The sequence below is a fragment of the Homo sapiens genome, chromosome 4, assembly GCF_000001405.40.
Source record: "Homo sapiens chromosome 4, GRCh38.p14 Primary Assembly".
Classification (NCBI taxonomy): domain Eukaryota; kingdom Metazoa; phylum Chordata; class Mammalia; order Primates; family Hominidae; genus Homo; species Homo sapiens.
Window position 1 is genome coordinate 158,108,824 of NC_000004.12, and position 20,353 is coordinate 158,129,176.

The 20,353-nt window shown below is 35.5% G+C and overlaps 1 protein-coding gene across 6 annotated transcripts in view; it reads right to left on the minus strand.

The window, feature by feature from the left end:
- Positions 1–15,650: 15,650 nt before the first annotated feature.
- GASK1B (golgi associated kinase 1B) overlaps positions 15,651–20,353 on the minus strand; it is a 48,552-nt gene continuing 43,849 nt past the window's right edge. For all 6 annotated transcript variants that reach the window (XM_024454079.2, NM_001128424.2, NM_001031700.3 and 3 more), the window contains one exon: positions 15,651–18,791. In XM_024454079.2, coding sequence (XP_024309847.1) covers positions 18,584–18,791 — 208 coding nt within the window. In that variant the 3' untranslated portion in view covers positions 15,651–18,583. The remainder of the gene's footprint in view (positions 18,792–20,353) is intronic.

Sequence of the window (20,353 nt, forward strand, 5' to 3'; positions counted from 1 at the left end):
CACAGACGTCAAGGAGATCTTCTCATTGCACGTCAAAAGAATCCAAATTCCTTAGCAGGGTCTTCAAGGGAGGCATTCATGATCTGGGCCCTGCTGATCTCTTTAACCACATTTTGTGGCTGTCATTCATTATGCTTTAGAAAAGTTAGCAACCATATTTTCTGGATGACACTGAACCTTCTTCCAGGTCCAGAATTTTTTGCATATTATTTCTTCTGCCTGTAATGCTCTTCCTCCACTTCAAGCTTAGATCTCAGTTTAAATATGCCTGCCTCTGGGAAGCTTTGTTGACCCCTCAACCTGTAACACATCTGATATGGTTTGAATCTGTGTCGCTACCCAAATCTCATGTCAAATTGTAATCCTTAATGTTGGAAGTGCAGCCTGGTGGGAGGTGATTGGATCATAGGGGCAGATTTCCCCCCAGTATTGTTCTTGCAATAGTGAGTGAGTTATCATGAGATCTGGCTGTTTAAAGGTATGTGGCATCTCCTTGCCCCCTCTTGCTCCTGCTCCCACCATGTAAGATGTGCCTGCTTCCCCTTTACCTTCCACCATGATTACAAGTTTCCTGATGCTTCTTCCCCAGCCATGCTTCCCATACAGCCTGTGGAACTATGAGCCAATTAAACCTCCTTTGCTTTTAAATTACCCAGTCTCTACTAACACAACATCCTTTCTGTTACCTTTTAGAATATTTATTGCAATTTTCAATTTGACTGTACATCTTCTATCCTAAATGTAAGCTTCAAAAAGTCAAGAACCATATCTGTTTTATTCACTACTTCTTATTGGGCCTGGAATATGTCAGGCATTCAGTAACAAACAACATTTGTTAAAGCAATTAGTTATCACCTACCAGAAATTTTAACAGGAGTGATCACTAGGCTAACATCAGCTGAAGAGGTTCTCTTAGTCTTGATTTCATAAGGACTTCAAGTTTAGATGCATGTGACTGAACACACACTAAAGAATAACCTATATATACAATTAAAAAATAGTTAACACATTGGATAATATAGAGAAATATGCCTATAATATTCATACATATGTTATAAGTGCATATATATAATTATATACATATTTATGCATATACATATGCTCATATATATTTGATGAATTTATGTATATTGAATATATACATATATGTATAACAATATATCTTATAAATGCATTAAATCCATAGATATTATATCATATAAATATACATTATAATTTGGTTCTAATATTCAAAAGTAATATTGGAATTGGTGAAACTTTTATGTAGCTGTGACATTGGAGACATCTTTCGTCCAGGTGCTTATCACATTTATTGTCCTCATTCTGAGTAATTTGCTGGTTTTTCTATGTTTCAGAAGGTCCTATATCCAATACCAAACTTCTTCAGAATAATCACTTTATGTCTTAGTCTCTTTCTTTTCTATTGTCCAACATTCAAGTTTTTTGCTCATTATCAGTATTTTTGTAACTTCATATTTTGCTACTCTTAACTGGAAACTAGGTGCTTCAAGTTTTTGGATTGTGATGGGGAAGTACATTAATAAAAACAAATCAACTACTGTGGAAGTGCATGTCTTGATAAATATAATTTATGGAGGTTTGCTTTTCAGTAATAACATCTTGTAAAATGGCTTTTGTCTTAACCACTTCTTTGGGAACAGCTTCTCCCTCTCACTTCTATGTTATGTCAGTGGAATAGATTTAATAGATTATCTTGGCTTTATAAGAAAGAACACAGCATCCTGCAAAAGCACCTCATTCCCTCAAAGAAAACTAGATTGAAGTCATGAATTTCCTATTACTTTGTGTGTCAAATTCTCAGATATCCCCTTGGCTTTAATGCTGCCTGATGTTCCTGATGAGATGGCAGCACAGAGAATCCCAGGATTATTAGAAAAAACTGTGCTTGCCTATAAAGAGAGACATTTATGTTTTTAACTCTCAATCTTTCCCAATCCTCAATATAAGCCAACTCTTATATAAGCCAACCAAATAGATATTGGGTTGTTGAATATATATTGGAGTGTTACTGCTATTTTTAAGGGTGTTGTCATCCCTACAACTGGTAACAAGAGTGCAAAAATAATATTTCAATCAAAGCAATGCTATCAAATTTTATGAAGTATCACTTTTTGGTCATGAAAATAAACTTTTTTATATGACTCTGAATGAAAGTAAGAATTCTTTTCACTACAGAGCTGATTTTATATGAGTTTAAATCTGTTCTTTGTTTTTTCTAATCTCTTGCTTTAAAACACACTAACTAATGAGTTGACCAAGCTCTACTGGCCATTATATCTACTTGCAAACTAGCAAATTCAGTTTTCAACATAACAACACAAAGTAAAATGAAGTGGAATGCTGTGATTTTAAGGGGGCTTTGCCCTCCTTTGTTCTGTGAACTTTGCCAGCTTTCACATCATAGCAGTCTCACAGCCCTTTGTTCAAACTCACAACATTGAATGTAAAGAATGGCTTTACATTGTCATTTTCTTACTGGAGAAATCCAAATGCATCAAGAAAAATGCTCACAAGGCTTGGAACAAAAAGAGGTATTTATTTTACATGTGCCCTAGTTCTGTGTAACTCAGCATCATGACAAATGCATTGGGATTGCAATTGAGAGTTGAAGTTCTCTTCACCTCCTGTGAATCATCAAGCCCAAACGTATGGCCCAACGTGATAACCCTTTTAAATATTAGGTACTGATACTGGGGAACATTGATGATTACCACCATCTCATACACTTGAATAAAGACAGACCTGAGAGAGATATTGCAGACTTAGGCTGTTTGCTCTATCAGATGTCTATTAGTCAATCTTTCCACTTACACACCTGGCTATGGTTTCTCTAATTTATCCCACTGTGGATAAGAAATACAAATTATTTCAGGGAAGCCAGTTTGACAGAGTTGAGAGAGCACTGGATGAACTTGGGAAGGTGGCGTGGCTCAGCGGTCATAAGCGTAAGTGGGGAAGTCCAGCCGATTTGGATCTGAATCCAAGGTAGTTTGGTCACTTCTTGGCAGTTTGATCTTGAATAAATTATTAGCTTCTTCATCTTTCCATTTTCTCATTTTTCTGATAGAGCTGTTGTGAAGAATAAAGTAGATATTATTTTTGAAGTGAATTGTGCCATGCCTCTCTAGCAGTAAGAACATGACACAAGTAGCTGTTATTAAGGTGGCACATCTGATACAAGTTTTTCTGTCCTCAACTCTCTAGACCTCACATGCAATCTTGTTCCCAATGTAAATGGAAAATTTATACCAGATAAGTTCAAATAAACTGACCAAGTTTCCAATTGTGTCATTTTCTCTATTATTTGCCCCTTGCTCTTTCAATGGATTTCAATGGCATCCAATACTTACATAAGAAACATTTAAAGAGTTGAAAGATAAGATAGGCAAGAGGTTTGTGGAGGTAGTCAGCAAGGGCGAGGCTATCATTTGCTTAGATAGTAGGAAAAAAGCTATGGATCTCTTTGAAAGTAACAATGCAGTGGAGGGAAGTGGGGAGGGCACTAAGGTGAGTGAGAAGGGCACATGAGAAGGGTCAGAATATCAAAGGTGCGTCTCTGCATTACAGCCAAGAGCAGGAGAGGGTCAGCATCAGTGAGAAAGGGAAAGATACACCAGAGACTTTACGCAAATGATATGGCTGGACATTGCAGAAAAGTTACCTCAATAACTAGTAATAACTAGTCAGAAACTAGTTATTACTAGTCAGAATAACCAGTCAGAAACTAGTTATTACTAGTCAGAATAACTAGTCAGAAAGTGCCTTGAAAAGGCTCCTAGAAAAAAATAAATTGAGGTAGCAATTTTGCAATACACTCAGAAACAAAGTGCAAAAAGAAGAAAAGAGGATTGCCAGTAATGGAAAAAAGAGATTGAGGATGTTGAAGGCCCTTGAAGGGGACTATTTTGCAACAAAGGAAAGCCAGCTCACAGAGAATGGCTTCTTGAACTTCCTCTCTGTTTCCCATTTCTCCTCCTCTTCAAAAAATGTCATCCATTTTATTCAGGACAGAACAATTTGCCCAATGTGCTATTTAAATATTGGTTTTAGAACATTTCCTTGATTTAAAAGTACACTACCAAGATTGGCAAAAATCCAAGCTATTTCTTTCTGTAGTCTTTGTCATGATTTATAGGGTAGGTTTTTTTCTACCAAGGATAAAATGGAAGAAGACCAGAATGTAAAATTGCACAAAATACACAATTACTGACCAAAAAAAAAAAAAAAAATACATTGACTAGAGCTATTACGAAGGGTATTTTATATTATACAAAAGATTCTGATTATCTTTTCAAAGATGTCTGAAAACTAATGTTTTTTTTTTTTAGTAGGAACATTTGAAGAACAGAAGGGGAAGACTAAGGGAATTCTATATAAAATAAATTTCTCTTATGTATGAATAGTATCTGGCTAATGTTCCTGATTCTGTTATACACACAGACATTAACTGTTACAGTTTAATGATTAAAGGCTTGAAGAAAGGAAGTTACTAGAGACAAATGCATTCAATTCTTGTTCCCTGAGCTATCCCACGACCTAAAGCAATGCCTGGCATATAGTTGGCACTCAGTAAATATTTGTTACATGAAGGAGTAAATAAAGCCCTAGAGAAATCAAATTAGCAAGTGAATTCTTTAATCATCGCCAGCTGAGCACTACTTGAGCCACGAAAATCCCAAAGTGTAAATGGAATCTCACGGTTTGGGGTAACTCAGCCTGAGTTGAGCCTCTTATCCTGGTCATCCTAGTAGCTTGGTGTATAGGCAACTGTGAAAATAAATCAGTCTGTTCATTATGAAAAGAGAAAAAGAAAACAATCTAACTCTTTATATGGATTGGCTGTTTTGTGTGTGTGTGTGTGTGTGTGTGTGTGTGTGTGTGTGTCTAAATTTTTCTCAATGATGTATCCTCAGGTGATCTTCTCTCTGGTTTAGATCAGCTCTTTAGAGAAGACTATTGGTGTGACTAAAGCTAAGAAAAGTATATCTAAAGCCTGAAGCGCCTGTTTTGCATAGTGTTTCTAGAACGTTTTTAAAGCTGTTTCCCTTAGCAACGATATTTTTCTTAGAATGGTTAGTAAATTACCTTTGAATCTTAAAATATGTAATGGTCCACAATTATGTACAAAAACACTTCAGAATTAGTCCCATCCTACTTCATTCCTTGATTATTTCATGCCTATGTAACTCCTAGAACTTTCTAAATTACTTCCCATGTCTTCCTTATTCCTTTCCACAACATACACACCAATCTACTCTAACAAATATCTTCATCACATGGCTGCCTTTTTAAAGAATTTATAATAACCTCTCAATAAAACAAAATAGGAAAAAGAGCAAAACATTATTTGTTGCAAATCACTGAAATAAATAAAGAGGATGAAACTATGGGAAAGAATGCTGCATTTAGCATAAAACTGGTAAAATGACTACTACCAAAAATAGAGCCTAGGAGAAATAGCAGCTATATATAGTAGCATTTACGCCAATTGGAGGAGAACCAAAACAACTATGCATATTTCCCAGGTAATAAGCAATGTGTAGCTTTTTTGTTTTTAATTGGGTTCTAAGATACCTAAGAAGGATCTTTTATTTGGTCTTTCAAAGACTGGAGATGGGAGGAAGGGGGTGCATATTTGTGGGGGTCTAGTTCTGCAGCATGGAAAAGCACAGGAGGAGGGCTGACTTAGTGTCTCTAAAGATACTCTGTCTCATTGTTCTGAGAACAAAGCCCTAACCTAGTATCTAGAGATGCTGTCTTATTATTGCGAGAACAAAGCCCTAACCTAGTACCTAGAGATACTCTGTCTTATTATTCTGAGAACAAAGCCCTAACCTAGATATGCTGCCTGGTAGGTAGGGAGGGAAGTCAGAAGACAAGAACAAAACAGTAACTGCTGCTGAGCACAGAAAATGCATAGTATATCCCACACAAAAGTACAGAGCAATACCTGTGCTCTAGAGCAGCATTGGTCAACAGACATTCTACAGTGATGGAAATCTGTATCTTGATGCTGATATGGTAATGCAGTATTCAATGTCAATTAATTTAAATTCAATTCCAAAAACTTTAATTTCTCTGAAAACCTAGATCAAAACAAATATGAAAAATTTATAGCAAACAAATCACTGAAAGATGAAAACTGAGCTGGAAAAGCAGAAAAGAGACTTGAAGATAATAAAGTAATTGGAAGAATTAAAACTAATTAGAAGCAGTAAGAAGTAGAATAGATATTGCTGAAATAGAATGAGGTATATAAAGAAAACACTTGAGGAAATAGTACATATAATAAAGAAAAAATAAAGAAAAGGAAGCAAAGAAGGAAAATAAAATTGATTTGAAAGCAGATTCCATACACACATCATAAGTTTTTCTTAACCTGAAAATAGAACAAACAAAACCAAAAATATGTTCAAATATATATTGTAAAATCTTCCTAAAATAAAGTAAAATGTAAATATGTCGATAGCATATTTTGTTTCAGGAAAATACAATACAGAATGACCAACTTTAAGATGAGTCCTGAGAACGTATTCCTCAAAGAATATATGAAGGAAAAATAAATCCAAAAAAAAAAGAAAAAAAATCAAGAAAGAATTCAATGAGCCTTAAAATTGGAAAGCAAATCACCTAAAAGTTAGAGGGAAAAAAAACAGAGTTGCCTCAGAAATCTTATCACAATGTTCAATGTCAGATGACAGTGCTAGAATATGTCTACAGACTTTCAAGGGAAAAAATAAGAACTCCAGATTTTATATCAGCCAGATCATTGTTTACATACATAAACATAACAGAGTGAGATTCACAAATGAACAAAGCTCAGTGAAGATGGAACTTATGAGTAGGTATGTAAAAATTGCTTGATAATGAAGCCAGTCAAAAATGAAATGAATGAAATAAAATAAAAACATCAGGAAGGAAGAAGTTGTAATTGATGGTGGGCATGAAATCCATTCAAATATAGAACTAATGCACCTGTGACAGAGTAGGAAACAGAAGGTAAATATTAAGGATAGTAACAATGTAAGAATGATGGTAAATTTTTTAAAAGTTAATTTGTGAATGGAGGAAGTAGGGGAAAAATCTAAGAGCACAAACTTTTTAATCTGTCATAGGAAGAATAATGATATACTTTCTAAAATTGATGAATAAACAAAGAAATTTCTTTAGAAATAAATTATAGATTTTCTGTTCATTGTAAGTATCAGAAGAATGATCCATTTAGATTAAGCATTAGCTAAAAGGTGAATTATAAAAGGATACTCAGTCATTTCACAGAAACCAAGAACTAGGAGGAAACTTTAAAGCAACTAACAAAGAAATCAAAAGCCACAAGATTCCTTTCACATCAGATCTTCCTTGGGTATCTGTTTCCATATTTCTTCTCTCTTTCTCTACCTACAATTAAGTTTCTCCAGCTCACATAGAAGAAATCATGGCTAAAATCACTGGAAGATTATACATTATTACTTTAGTCTTTGGTCCTGGTTTCTTTTCCTCATTTTCAGTTCTAATATTCTAAGGGACTTATAGGTTATAATGTTAAGTGAAATAAGCCAGGCACAGAAAGACAATATCACATGTTCTCACCATATGCAGGACTTAAAAGTTATTTCATGGAGGTAGAGAGTAGAATAATGATTACCAGAGCACTGGGAAGTATATGGCGGGGGTGGGGAATGGGAGGGATGAAGAGAGGTTGGCTAATGAGTACAAACATACAGTTAGATAGAAGGTGTAAGTTCTAATGTTTGATAGCAGGGTAAGGTGACTATATTTATCAATACACTTTTAATTTATTACATATTTCAAAATAGCTAGAGAGAAGATTTAAAATGTTTCCAACACAAAGGAATGATAAATGTTTCCAGCCATGCATATCTTAATAACTCTGATTTGATCATTACACATTGTGTGTATATATCAAAATATCATACATACCTCATAAATATGCACAATTATTATGTATCAATTTTTAAAAAGAAAAAATTTCACCATTATAATAAAATAAAATTCTGAGGGAAGTATTCAGATTGGCCCACTTAGGTCAGGTGTTCAATTTTGAACCAATGAATTATGACATGAAACAGAGCTGAAAAAGAAGATTGTGATTTGCCCAGCTTAAGTCATATGTACATCACAGGACCTATTCACTATGGCCTGGAATCCAGGGCAGACGTGAGATTAGGGTGGACTGGGGTGGAAGGTTCCCAAAAGTAAAAGGTTATTGGAAAAACAATAATAAGTTTAAGTTGTGCTGTCTCAGATATAATGAGAGGTGCCACGTGTAGCTTTCACCATACACTGCAGTTAACATTATTCACCAGATATTTCTAGTGTCTTTCCTTTTCCGGCTACTTTTGTCCAGTGAGTTGTGTGTGGAAGTGAAAGGCCCTTCAGAACTTTGTCCCGCTCAGGCACAGAGATGGAAGCATTCAGGCTGTTCCATCAGCCCGGGTTTCTGGGAAAAGGGAGCTTTGAGAAAGCCACGTGAAGCTCAGGAGGAAGAAATATCTTGGGCTCTGAAATAAATTGTTTAGGTGAAGAAGAAATGTTTGAGGTCATGGATATCTTAATAACCCTGATTTATTCATTACAAATACATTACATTGTATGTATGTATCAAAATATCACATGTACATCAATATGGAAAAGTATTATGCATCAATAAAAAGAAAAAAGGCTACCATTTTAATAAAATAGAATAAAATTCTACAAAGAGTAAAACTCTCCTGCCAATCTGTGATGGACATGTGCTATGAGAAATCTCCCTTTGTGTTTTAAGCCACTGAGATTTAATGGCATTTTGTTACCATAGCTTTACTTAACCTACCCTGACTGACACTGTGACTGCACTGCTCCATGGTGGCTGACTATATCATGGCTAAAACAATTCCACTCTAGTGCATTTTGCTATTCTTTCTCCTCTATTGCTGGTAGGGAAAAACCTACTTTCCATTTCTTTGTTCCTCTTTCAGAGGAGGCTCCCACAAGGTTCCTGAGGGGAATCAGCTTCTTTACAGTCCAGGTTATCTTCTTAAAGAATACAGATACTGAGTCCTGGGACACAGGATGGAAAACACAGATTTGCAAGCACTCTTATCTGCAACAACAACCCATTTTAAAATTTTCACCCTGATACTTAATTTATTATATGCTCCCAGATTTATTCTTCACCTCTACATTTTATTTCAGAGCTCAAGATGCTTCTTCCTTCTGACTCTCATGTGGCTTTGCTCAAGCATCCTTTGTTCCAAACCATCAGACCTCCTAGGGCTATTACCAATGTCATACAATGTGGCCATAAATTACAATACAAGGAATTTGACAGAGAAAATCTTCATAAATGAAATGTGAGAAAACCAAAAAATGGTGAAAGTGTTACCCTTTATAAAGGACTATCAATGGGCTAAAGCAGTGGTTCTCAACTGGGAAATGATTGTGCCTCCCAGAGACATTGTGCAATGTCTAGAGAATTCTTTGCTGTCACACCTATAGGGGCTGCTACTGGCATCTAATGGGTAGAGTCCAGGGATGCTACTGAACATCTTGCAATCCACAGGTCAGCTACCCGTGACAAAGAATTATCTGACTCAAAAGGTCCCCAGTTCTGGGATTTAGAAAACCCAGGCTAGCCAGAACTTCCAACACTATGTTGAATAGGAGTGGTGAGAGAGGGCATCCCTGTCTTGTACCAGTTTTCAAAGGGAATGCTTCCAGTTTTTGCCCATTCAGTATGATATTGGCTGTGGGTTTGTCACAGATAGCTCTTATTATTTTGAGATACGTCCCATCAATACCTAATTTATTGAGAGTTTTTAGCATGAAGGGTTGTTGAATTTTGTCAAAGGCCTTTTCTGCATCTATGGAGATAATCATGTGGTTTTTGTCATTGATTCTGTTTATATGCTGGATTACGTTGATTGATTTGCATATGTTGAACCAGGCTTGCATCCCAGGGATTAAGCCCACTTGATCATGGTGGATAAGTTTTTTGATGTGCTGCTGGATTTGGTTTGCCAGTATTTTATTGAGGATTTTTGCATCGATGTTCATCAGGGATATTGGTCTAAAATTCTCTTTTATGTGTGTGTGTGTCTCTGCCAGGCTTTGGTATCAGGATGATGCTGACCTCATAAAATGAGTTAGGGAGGATTCCCTCTTTTTCTATTGATTGAAATAGTATCAGAAGGAATGGTACCAGCTCCTCTTTGTACCTCTGGTAGAATTCGGCTGTGAATCCATCTGGTCCTGGACTTTTTTTGGTTGGTAAGCTATTAATTATTGCCTCAATTTCAGAGCCTGTTATTGGTCTATTCAGAGATTCAACTTCTTCCTGGTTTAGTCTTGGGGGGGTGTATGTGTCGAGGAATTTATCCATTTCTTCTAGATTTTCTAGTTTATTTGCGTAGAGGTGTTTATAGTATTCTCTGATGGTAGTTTGTATTTCTGTGGGATCGGTGGTGATATCCCCTTTATCATTTTTATTGCATCTATTTGATTCTTCTCTCTTTTCTTCTTTATTAGTCTTGCTAGCGGTCTATCAATTTATGCAGCCAAAAGACACATGAAAAAATGCTCATCATCACTGGCCATCAGAGAAACGCAAATCAAAACCACAATGAGATACCATCTCACAGCAGTTAGAATGGCGATCATTAAAAAGTCAGGAAACAACAGGTGCTGGAGAGGATGTGGAGAAATAGGAACATTTTTACACTGTTGGTGGTACTGTAAACTAGTTCAACCCTTGTGGAAGTCAGTATGGCGATTCCTCAGGGATCTAGAAGTAGAAATACCATTTGACCCAGCCATCCCATTACTGGGTATATACTGAAAGGATTATAAATCATGCTGCTATAAAGACACATGCACACGTATGTTTATTGCAGCACTATTCACAATAGCAAAGACTTGGAACCAAGTCAAATGTCCAACAATGATAGACTGGATTAAGAAAATGTGGCAATATATACCATGGAATACTATGCAGCCATAAAAAATGATGAGTTCACGTCCTTTGTAGGGACATGGATGAAGCTGGAAACCATCATTCTCAGCAAACTATCGCAAGGTCAAAAAACCAAACACCACATGTTCTCACTCATAGGTGGGAATTGAACAATGAGAACACATGGACACAGGAAGGGGAACATCACACACTGGGGCCTGTTGTGGGGCAGGGGGAGTGGGGAGGGATGGCATTTGGAGATATACCTAATGCTAAATGACGAGTTACTGGGTGCAGCACAACAACATGGCGCATGTATACATATGTAACTAACCTGCACGTTGTGCACATGTACCCTAAAACTTAAAGTATAATAAAATAAATAAAAAGAAAACCCAGGCTAAAGTCAGGTTTTAATTAGAAATTTGTCCTTAATTAGGAATTTGCTTCTCTGGATGCTGCCACATCCCTCCTCTCTAAACATAACATATTCTTTCTGTCTGAGATAAAACTTTTGGTATCACAAGCAACAAAGGAATACTAACAGCAATACTCAATAAGAACAGCAAATAGCATTGCCATAATAGCCACCAAAACTCCTGGGAAAGTCATAACTGTCATTTGTTACCTGATTAAAAGAGAAGAAAATTGACTCCCTCCTAGGAGGAGCTACAGATTATTTGCTCATTCTCTTTCAAAAGAACTGAATCTTGCAAGTTTAATAATAATGTATTCTCAGAAAGTTAGAGGGAATATCTGGATCATAGTTGTTTCTTTTTTCTTTTCTTTCCTTTTTATTATACTTTAAGTTGTGGGATACATGTGCAGAACGTGCAGGTTTGTTATACACGTGCCATGGGTTTGCTGCACCCATCAACCCGTCATCTACATTAGGTATTTCTCCTAATGCTATCCCTCCCCTAGCCCCAACCCCTCCACAGGCCCTGGTGTGTGATGTTCCCCTCCCTGTGTCCATGTGTTCTCATTGTTCAACTCCCACTTATGAGTGAGAACATGTGGTGTTTGGTTTTCTGTTCTTGTGTTAGTTTGCTGAGAATGATGGGGTTTTTTAATACTCTTGAGAGCCTGAAATGAGTGTACAGAACAAAATATCTTGTTCTTCTAAACAGAAGCAGAGCCAATAACATAGGGTACTTTATAAACCAAATAGCGTCTGGTGTCCTGAAGCTAAAGAAACTGTCGGCACTTCTTGCAGAATCGCAGCTGTTTCAGTCTTATTCAGTGACTTGTCCCACTCTCTGCAGTCCAGTTTGCCTTTCGAAATATAGCACAGCTGGCTATTCTGCAGCAATGATTAAAGCCACTGACAAGAGTTTTTTTTTTATTTGTTAGCTCTTTGTCTCAAAAGCTTTAGAAATCTTGACAAGTACTCTTACAAAATACAGATAACTTTCTTAAAAGAAGACACAGATTTCTTAATATACACATGACTGTGCATATTTTTATCAACAAACTAAATACACTTTGGAGTCATGAGGATAAAATGGTACCTTTCTAAGATGAAAAAAAATGTTGAACAAATTTAACCACATGCAATGCCGTTTTAAGAAAGGAATCCTGTGACTTCATTGGCTTACCATGTGCATTTTTAGGTTGCAAAACAGTCTGCCAGCAACCCTTCTTAGTCAGACCTTTCTTACAGCAAAGCCCTATCCCGGAGGACTACAGAGCTTAAAAATCGGTGAAGATGTCATATTTTGACATAAGACAGCTGTGTGTAAATTGGAAGTGGGGCAAAAGATGACAGGAGCATAGACACTTCAAACTCCTCTAACAGGCCAAAATAACAGTAAGAAATGGTTACAGTTCTTTGCATAAATGTCAAGGAAATAATTCCTTTAGGAAAAATTCATTCATTTGTTTAGGAAATTGTTTAATAAAAAGCAGGAGCATTATGGTGATGCCCAGAAAACCACTGGCAGTAAATCATTCAACATTGACTATATTTCTCCCATACTCCAAAACACAATTTTTTTATTATACTTTAAGTTCTGGGATACATGTGCAGAACGTGCAGGTTTGTTACATAGGTATACACGTGCCATGGTGGTTTGCTGCACCCATCAACCCGTCATCTACATTAGGTATTTCTCCTAATGCTATCCCTCCCCTAGCTCCAGACCACCCCCCAACAGACCACCCCCCAACAGACCCCGGTGTGTGATGTTCCCCTCCCTGTGTCCATGTGTTCTCATTGTTCAACTCCCACTTATGAGTGAGAACATGCAGTGTTTGGTTTTTTGTTTCTGTGCAAAACACAATTTTAAAAGGGACTATCTGAGATCTTTTGTATTTCACAGCAAATAAAACAGGTAACTGGTAATTTTTAATAAATTAAAGGTTGAAGTGAAAATAAACTCGAAGGTTTGTTTCTGTAGTTGATTAAGTAAATGGTAGTGAATTTGGAATTGATGGTATGGGCTGAAAATGTTTAAGAATTGGTAAAGTAAACTGTCTCTCAACTTTCATTGGTTGAATAAAGTATCTCATTAAATATTCTTTACCAAAACCTAAGTTTTCACCTTTGCATAAAAACAAGGCTTTTAAAATATATTAGGTGAAGATCTTCTGAATGCAAATAATATAATTTCCCATCTTCTTAAATACACTGGAAAGCAAGCTTTCTTAAGCTGGGAGACCACAGACCTGGGAGGGAAGAGCTCCATAAATGGGTATCTGCAGATCTGAGAGCCCCATGAAACTATATACAGAACTGTATGGACAGCTGAACTTTTAATCAGCTTCTCAAAGAGATCCAGATCTCATAAAAGGCTAAATACCACTGGTACAACACAGAACATAAATTAATGCATTTCTGATAAATCAGTATATTCATTAGGTTGCAAAACAGTGTTAATCTATTATTGTAACACGACACTGGAACATGATGATGTCTGCAGAACATATTGAGGTGATTAGATCATTTAGCCACAATGTGACTCTGAACTATCATTTCAAGCAGCAATCATTGACAATAAACTATAGATAGGCAAACTCTTACTGTGAGTACCAAATCCCCTCTCTAGTCTAATAAGAGTTCATTTCTGGACACTTCTCAAAAGAATTGTTTTCCTACGTTTTTGCTACTGAAGATATAACTTAAAGCCCAATTACAGGTCTTGATTGATGGTTAACATGTTAAAAATTTACTTATTAATTCATGTATCTGCATTGTTTAACAGAGCATAACACATAGTAAATTCTCGATCAACTGTGCAATGTAATCATCAAAAGTTTCATAATATAAGTAGCTTTCTTGTTTATTCTGCTCTCCAAATGTTCATAAAACAGTGCCCTAAAATTATTACTACATATGAATATGCCTGTAAAACCTTCAAGGTTTATAAAGTTGAGATTTCTTATTTTATCTTGGTAGATAATAAATCTCTGAGAATATCTTGGCTTTCCAACTTTCTAAGTCAATTTCAACATTGAAGATTCTAGGTCAACAGTTTGTATAGACTGGGGCAAGTCACTTTGCCTCACTAAGCCTCAGTTTCTCCATCGGGAGGATGAAGTTGTTGGACAAGATGCTGACTTCATGGTCCCATTTTATTATAAAATTGTGTTAGCCAAGTGCTGTGGCTCATGCCTGTAATTCCAGCACTTTGGGAGGCCAAGGCAGGCAGATCACCTGAGGTCAGGAGTACCAGACCAGCCTGGCCAACATGGTGAAACCCCATCTCTGCTAAAAATACAAAAACTAGCAGGGTATGGTGGCAGGCGCCTATAATCCCAGCTACTCAGGAGGCTGAGGCAGGAAAATCCCTTGAACCCAGAAGGCAGAGGCTGCAATGAGCTGAGATCTTGCCATGCACTCCAGCCTGGGTGACAGAGCAAGACTTCGTCTCAAAAAAAAAAAAAATTGTATAAGTTGTATTTTGAAAGTTTATTAAAGTAAAATTTTCCAAAATGTAAAATCATGACTCTCAAGGAAATAAAATTATATGGCTCTGTGGTCAAATGTTTATTAAAGCAAAATTTTCAAAAGATAAAAAACTGATTCGTATGAAAATGTTAAATGAATATAAAGATTTTATTCAAATAATCAATTAATGATGGAACCGGTGAGATGGTAAAAACCATTTAAAAGAGTATTTCAAAAGCTAAATGTTTATAGGCAATATTAGGATAAGATTGTTGGACTAGATTTAAAACTGGTTAATGCCCAATTATTAAGGTTATCTCTTCCACCAGAAGGAAATTATTTGTATCTCTATGGAACAAAAGTCTACAAGTCTCTCCCCTCCTGCATTGTTAAGTAGCCTATGTAATAGAAAATTAATCCCAGCATTGCACTGAAAAAACACACAAAACTCTCTTCTGGCTATTTCCACGTTTCATATAATTTTTCTGACAAGTCAATTCTTTCTTTTTTTCTTCCTTTTCAACATTTATTTTAGATTCAGGGGGTAAATGTGCTGGGTTCTTGCCTGGGCATACTGCGTGATGCTGAGGTTTGGGATATGAATGATCCTATCACCTAGGTGCTGAGCATAATACCCAAGAGTTAGTTTTTCAACACTTGTCCCCCTCTAGTAGTCCCAAGTGTCAATTTTTATCATCTTTATCTGACAAGTCAATTCTAGTTATCTTTCATGCATGAAAGTTCTTGATTATTGTTTATGATACTTAATTTTTTAAAAAAGGTCTTTATCATCTTTATTTGACCCATGTTCAATTTCCATATAATTTTCAGATGAATGCTCTAAATGTGTGCTTGTTCTGTGCTGACATAAACATAAGAATTTCATAAGACAGTGTGTAAATAAATCTACTTCTAGGTATTTTATTCGTTATGTATAAGGTAAAGTATATTTAATGGCACAGTAGAATAAACAGGCTATGATTACAAGTCCAAAGATTACAAATATAATGATGATATCAAATATATGCACACACAAACACAATCCAACAAAATTCTTGACTCTCTTTCTTTTTTCACCGCTAAAGGTAGCAAACATTCCTCTGTACCTAGCTCTGAAAACACATCTACAAAAGCAAATGAACTCATCTGCAAAATAAAAAGCACATATCTTTAATTTCTAATGTTTTATTATAGATTTTTAAGATACATATTTATTTTTATATTATTAGCTTAAAGAAAGTAAGTCACACAAGAATAAGCTTTTGCATGTCTGCTAAGGTAAATTATTATATTATAAGTTTGTTATGAAGTTATAAATAAAACACATATTGTGCTTATGTGAATAAAACCACAGCATAATCGGAGTGCATTTGAAATGCACAGAGTATTCTCATTGTTTCAATAAGACAAAAGAAGAACATTACCTATTAGAATTAAAAGCCTGGCCTTCGGCTATCCATTAGTCAAAAATAATTCATCATGAATTACTCATTGATTACAAAACAAAATTGTTAAAAAGCAAAGGTGACTAAAATAAACATGTTCCTGGGACTTTCATTTAATAAGCATTTTGGAATAACTGGAGGCAAATAAACAAAGTTAAACCCTCACGTGGGAAGACCAGGCTGCCCAACAGCATTGTAGCTTGAGACTCAAAGTTAAAGCCAGCTTCTAAAAAGCCTGTTAGTCCTACCATCAATATGATAAATTTGGATAAAGATGGTAAAAAAAAAAAAATGTTTTAAGCAGTAAAAATGCAAATATGCCACCTTGGTAAGACAGGATGTCAGGCAACTTGCCAAAAGAGTTATTTCAAGTCAGTGGCTCAAAGTAGGATTCCAGTCTCCAAACTTTTGTTAGGCTAATTTTCATTAAGAGGATGATTTATAAGAGAAGAAAAGGATCTTAAAAATCCCAGAGACAGTGAGTAAAAGTGGAGACTCAAAAGAGCCAAGGAGTACTATAAATCTGTAGAAGCAGAGGGAGACACTCGGGTCAATAGAGGGAAAATTGAAGAGGAAGATAATCCAAAGCTCAACTGTCCAGGGGGCGAGCACAGCCCATAAGGGTGCTAAAAGTAGTACATGAATGTGAGCCTAGAAAAGCTACAATTAGATTTTCAAATGATCTCTCTCTCCTTGGTCCATCTTCTCTTATACTTAAAACATTATTTTGACATTTTGTTCTACAATTGTATCAATTAGATCTATAGATTTTTTTTTTCAAATCTAGCCTCTATTGTAACGTTGTTAGTAGTTCTCTTTCACACAGATATTGAGTTAACCTTGACCAGAACAAAGAAAATGTGGTGTATTTCAGCAATAACAGACGTAACCGTGAAAAGACAGGAGAGAATGTATTATAAACATTCTCAAATTGTATTTTTAAACTTTCAGGAAATGAAAAGTCACAAATAGAACTTTTAAATAAGGAGTAGGATGTGTAAGGGCAGGAAGGTAATGGTAATCTATTCTGAATTTGAAACTCCATGTGAATATCTACCATATGTGATGATCTTGGATATTGGCAAAGGACATAAAGATGCAACACATGAACCTGATTTGTCCATGTCTTCCAATCTGATTTAAAAAGTGTTAGAAGGAGTTTGGAGATGATTATTTGAGGCTTAATATTGTCCAAATTTACTGTTTTAGTTCTAGTCATGAGGAAAATTGATCAGACGCAGGTTTTAACTTATTTTGCTCATATTACTCATGTTGAAATAAGCCAGATAATATATTGAAACACACTCAATATTTGAACCAATTCTCAATATCTGGGCAGTAACCATTAAATCAAATTAAATATAAGTACATAGAACAAATTTTAAGGAATTCACTATTATTAATAAAATATACATAAATTATATTACATTGTTGGTAAAAGTAACAAAATTTTTAAAGAGACATCCATTTTAAAATGATACTCTGTAAGTACATTTTCAGATAGGTAACTTCATACTTTAGAATTATTTAATTTCTCAGCCACTAGATACAAATTGGACCAAAATAGAGAGAGTAAAACTCTTTAACATATAAATTGTCAGATGTGAATGATTTCCATAGGGACAACAAAATAAATTTCTAAAAAGGAATGGAAAATATGATTCTTGTACTTAAATGACTGATTTTTTATAGACACAATAGAAAATATACTGGTGATTTTGCAAATAAACCAGCATTTCTGTTTAAATGTATGGTCAGCTCTGATGCTCTTGCAGGCTGTAAGCCTCAGTGTTCCAATGTAGAGTTGCCTCAGGGTAGTGTAGAGACTGCTCTATGTTAACAATCAGCAACAGAAAAACGTCAAGAATTGTTCCCATTAGTATTTGGTCAGAACAGTCAAAACGGCACAAAATATGGTTTATTAATGGAGTCAGTGTCTCTGGTTTGCAGTTTTCTATTAAACAGCATGACAAATGTTTTCAAAACTTAGCTAGAATAATAACTGAAATTTCTGTTGTCAGATGTTCAGACTGACACATAGCATGATGTTAGAGAAAAATATAAACAAATATTTCTCAAGTAGTTTGTTTTTCAAAACCTTTTTAAGTATGCATACAGTGCTAAGTCCCATTATAGCTACTTGGTTAAAGTCATTTATTTTACGTATTCATCTACACTGCCTCATTGCTAAACGGGCTTGAGGTTGATGTGCTTGATTTAAAAACAAAACCAAAAATGCATAAATATATCTAACACCCTAGCCAGAAGATTCTTTTGTCATTCATTCATAGGTAATACTTTGACCCCGTGTGCATTGATATAGGTGATAAGAATTTTGGCTCTGTGTTCTATTACATCGATAAGCTTTTCAATTCCTTGTCTACCTCCTTGACTTTCCCAATACACTTTATCAAGAAACAGAGACTGAAGAAGTTTCTGCCGTAAGTGCTGGCTCTTCAAAACAGAAACTGCAGAAGCTGGAAACCTGAAAAGATAAAATGATATTTCAATCTTAGTAATTGCTTGGGAATAGTACTCCTTACCCAACTGTCCTGCCTTTCATTAATCTGTCATAAATCACACTAACAAATGGTATCTTTGAGAACCAAAACATTTTTGTTACTGCCAAGATGACACTTCTCTTAATAATAATATACTAGAAGAAAGTGTTTCCAGTGAACTGAATATTCTACACCATTCAGAACATGACAGACTTCTTACTTAAGGTCATTCCGTACACTCAAACAAAGGCATGGAATTGGAAAGGATTCTATTAGATTGGCAGAAATACTTTTCTTAGTCTTAGGCTCATTTCACCTGTGGAAACCCCTTTAATCTGTCAAGTAGAACAGTATCCTCAGATGTGTCAAGGTGGGATTTTATGCAAGAAAATATGAGAGACAAATTGATAATGACAACTTCAATAAAGTATTCTGCCTGAATAGAAGTTACACAACTGAATTTATGTGAAATAATAAAAAATGTGTGTACTAAAATGAGATAAGATTCATTCAAAAACATCAAATTAAAGAAAGAATTGTCTCTGAGTCATATTATACTCCTGGAGCTCTGAGGATTTAGGATCATTTTATTTAGCTAGAGTGTTAAGATGTTTTCAAATAAATTCAGCAAAACTCAAGTTTCAGAGAAAAGTTTTAGTTCCACAATGAAAGTCTCTCTGGAAAACCTAAGACCAATTTAGAGGGGTCTTTGCTGAATTACCTTAAAAGAATGCATTGTGCTTGCTTTTCTTCGTTTAGAAAGCCAGGAGTCCAGCATATACATTATCTGAAGGACTTAGCAAAATTTCTAGATCAAAAACATAAGTAATATTTTGCTAAATCCCCAATTTGACATTTCTCAACTTTCACTAAAATGCTGATAAAAGCACAGTAAAAATATTGTTTTAAGAGTACATTTCTAATAAACTCAGTTATACCTCAAAAACTATAGTAAGAACATATATACTTGCTTAAAGAGTACACTTTGCCAGAAATTTCAGGCCTTCTAAGCACCTCTTCCAAATTTCAATGGAGCACAATGGAGATGGCACAGAGGGTGCCCGAAAGCCAAGGATCAGGTGCTCCAGCAGTTCTGATGCTGCAGAAAGAACAAAGGCCACGGCGCCGGACTTGCTTAATGTGTGTGAGGAAGTGCGGAATGAAAGAATGTTTATAAGATGCTCTGAGTTCCCTGAAGACATTACTATATAGTTTAGGGCCTCAACTTTAGGGGCTCTAGTATTAAGTAGCATTTTTGCTTTATGAAGTGTTAATAATCCATGAATTGTCAATTCTATAGCCCTTCAACTAATTTAACTGTGGCAGAATGTATGAGATGAAATCGTTAAAACCATTAGATCTCTTTAGTGGCTAATCCTTTTCATAAAGGAAAGCAAAAATATTACCTGTCTCTGCACTACATTGATATAATAGTAGGAATATTCAGTGCATAAATTGGGGGTTAGAAAAGCCTTCATTTTTGCTTTTCAATGTGTGAATTATATTTTCAAAGAAGATTTAACTTCAAACCCATTACTCCTCATAA